This window comes from Homo sapiens, chromosome 10, assembly GCF_000001405.40.
Source record: "Homo sapiens chromosome 10, GRCh38.p14 Primary Assembly".
Classification (NCBI taxonomy): Eukaryota; Metazoa; Chordata; class Mammalia; order Primates; family Hominidae; genus Homo; species Homo sapiens.
Window position 1 is genome coordinate 81,176,743 of NC_000010.11, and position 3,101 is coordinate 81,179,843.

Sequence of the window (3,101 nt, forward strand, 5' to 3'; positions counted from 1 at the left end):
AGGGTGGATGGGCATAGATTATATGCAAACACTATGCCATTTTATATAAGGAACTTAAGCGTCTGTGAATTTTGGTATCCTCAAGTGGTGGGTCCTGAAACCAATGCCCTGCTGATACTGAGGGATTACTCTACATATATACATATATGTATATGTGTGTGTGTGTGTGTGTGTGTGTGTATACACACGTATATGTGTCGGTGTGTATTTTCCAGAATATTATTTCCAGAAGACCAAGAGGAGAGGAGAGAGTGATGAAAAAGTAGCAGCTAATATGCTTGGAAAACTTTAATTTCTATTTCCTAAGATCAAGAACATTTTTTACACATACATAGTACAATCATAGCATGGTTACCATGTAGAGTACACTTTGACAATAATGAGGGATAATGAATTAAATATTGAAAATATTTTCCATAAAGCATTTTAAAATGTAAAGTATGATGATATTGAAGAACAACAATGAAAAGAAGTTATACAATGGCTTTTTCAAAAAGAAGCAATGAGCCTATGGCTATGATGCACTAGCTGTATATAATAGATCAACCATTCTTCAGAAGATTAATGGAAAGCTAGTTTTAAAAACAACAAATTTTCTTGATGGTATCTTCAAGGTAGCTAGGATTTGAGACGCCAAGATCTCAGAGAAAAGGAAAGCTCTCTGGGCAGCTAAACGTCCATGGCTTCTCTTCTTAAAACATCCTCAAAACCAACACTAATATAAGTTTAAGTTCCTAATTTCAGCTCTTAGCAGTCTCTTTCCACTGTCAAAAATAGAAACTTGGAACTTAGAGCACTCTCAGGTGGAGTATTTCCAGGCTTTCACTTGAGGTCCCTGAAAGATCACACTGTAAAACTGAGGGTAAATCAGAAAGAAACTAGAACTTACAAAGCTTAAAACCAAGTTTGGTTGTAGAAAAATGATCTACTTTCACTTTAATAGCCTGCTAATATGTACAGAAAATTGCTGGAAAAATACGTTATCTGTAATCTCTTATTTTTTAATACACAATGTTTAGGAACTGTTGGAAACAGATAATCGGTGCCACGAAGAAAAGTCAGCACAGAGACAAAGGATCTCTCAGCAAGGCAATCTTTACTTTCTGCAGAAAGGGTGCCCTTCACAGATGGAACAGTAGCGAGAGCACATTTGAACAAAGGAAAAGCAGACATATTTATCCCTTAAGCATTTTGGTTGTCCTTACTTCTGTGTCCTGCATCCATTGGCTGGAGCTGGACCTCACAGTCCTAAACTGATACCCGATTTGCTAACAACCTGAAACTTTCCTAAATAGGTAAGTGCAAACAAAGAAGGAGAGGAAGTTGCTTATGAAAGGTTTAAGGAAGCAATAACATTTCCAAATAAGGAAGGAGCATCAGCTATGAGCTAAGACTTGCCTGGGCCTGTCTGGACACGCCTGAGTAAGCCAAAGCAACTAATTGGGCTAAAGTATAAGAACTGATAGTTGATAGAAGGCTTTAGAGTAAGAAGCTATTATTCCTACTGTCTATTATTTTATTTTTAAATCAAGATGAGCTTTGAAGAGGAACTTTTCTACTTTCTACAGGAACCAGTAAACTTACCTGGAAAACTAATTAACAAGAATAAGTTAAAACAGACAATAAAAACAGATTCACAAGGTTGTCAGATATATATTTTTAAGATAACAACTGATAAATATGTTCAGAAAAATAAATGACAGGATGAAGAACTATAGAATTGAAAACTATGACAAATAAAATTATTAATACAATATATAGGATTAATAGCAGGTTATTTATAGCTAAAGAGAAGATTTGTATTCCGGAAAATAGGGCATTAGGACTTCTTCAAAGTAAGACATGGAGAAAAAAGAGTCAAAAAATATAATAATGACTATAATATCTTAGGTGGAATATACTGATAAGTTTTCTTATCTATTGGATACCCACAAGGCAAAAAGAGAGATAATATTTGGGAGAGATTATGGTTAAGAATTTTTAAAATCTGATAAAAGATATAAAGTCATAGAGTCAATGAGCTGAAACAAAAAAAAAAGGCAGGGTAATTACAAAGAAAATCCTACTAAGGCATATCGTAGCCAAATTGCTGAAAATAAAAAATATTGAAAAATTTTAGAACCATTTAAAGAAAAATGTCAGATTGTCTTCAAACGTCAACAAAGGACATACAGCCAATTACACAGTGAAAAGAGCATGAGCCACAAGAAATGAGATATATAAAGTCCCAAAAGAAAATAACTGTAGGCATACAATTTAATACCCAAATAATATATTCTTCCAATTTAATGTGAAAAAGGCATTTTCAAATCAATAAAAGCTGATAGAATTTATTATCAGCAGAACTACATTAAAAGAGACATTAAAAAATATTTTCGAGGCAGAAGAAAGTAGGATCCCAAATAGAAACAAAGAAATACAGGAAGGAAGAAAAATAATGGGAAGGGTAAATATAAAATGAATGTTTACTATTAAAAATAATACTCATGATGTTTTATGGGGTTTGAAATACAAGCAAAATACAAATACTCTGATGGACTTATGTTTTCAGCCATAATCAAATAGATTGGAGGAGACTAAGGCCCCACTGAAGACAGCTAGAAAAGCTGCATAAAATAGGTTTGTTTGTTTTTAGTAATCTGTTTAAAGGCATCAGCTTTGAGCTGGCAAGGCAGCCAGGAGTTGAGAAGCCATATCCTGGAGAGAAGCTTATTGAGATAAACCAACTTCCTGTATGCTAATGAGAATCTCTCAAGGCGTTATCCAAATCTTATCACAGGCAAGAGGGTAAGGAGCTAGGTGTAGAGCAGTGCTAAGGGATAGAGAAGCTAATAGAGCTTTAGGCAACCTACGGAGTTGCGAGACAAAAAAAAATTGCATTTTGGGGCTGCCAAAACAACCAGAATTTAGAAGGCCAAGATCTGATAGAGAAGGCAACTGCAGGCAAGTGAGAACAATACTTAACATAGATTTTCTCCTTTAGTCATTTGTAATTAAGCTTCAAAGGGCAAGTGACAAAATAGCCAAACACAAAGGAGCATAAAAAAAGAGAATAATTTTTGGCAATGTCACGGTGCAAGGAAGACAGATATTTGAATTCA

The 3,101-nt window shown here is 34.4% G+C and overlaps 1 annotated feature.

The window, feature by feature from the left end:
- Window positions 877–2,076: an enhancer, noted in NCBI's record as "MED14-independent group 3 enhancer chr10:82937375-82938574 (GRCh37/hg19 assembly coordinates)". NCBI's record gives its function as "activates an origin of replication core promoter dependent on BRD2, BRD4, P300/CBP and CDK7 cofactors, and independent of MED14, by STARR-seq in HCT116 cells {active_cell/tissue: HCT116}" and the evidence as "EXISTENCE:reporter gene assay evidence [ECO:0000049][PMID:35650434]".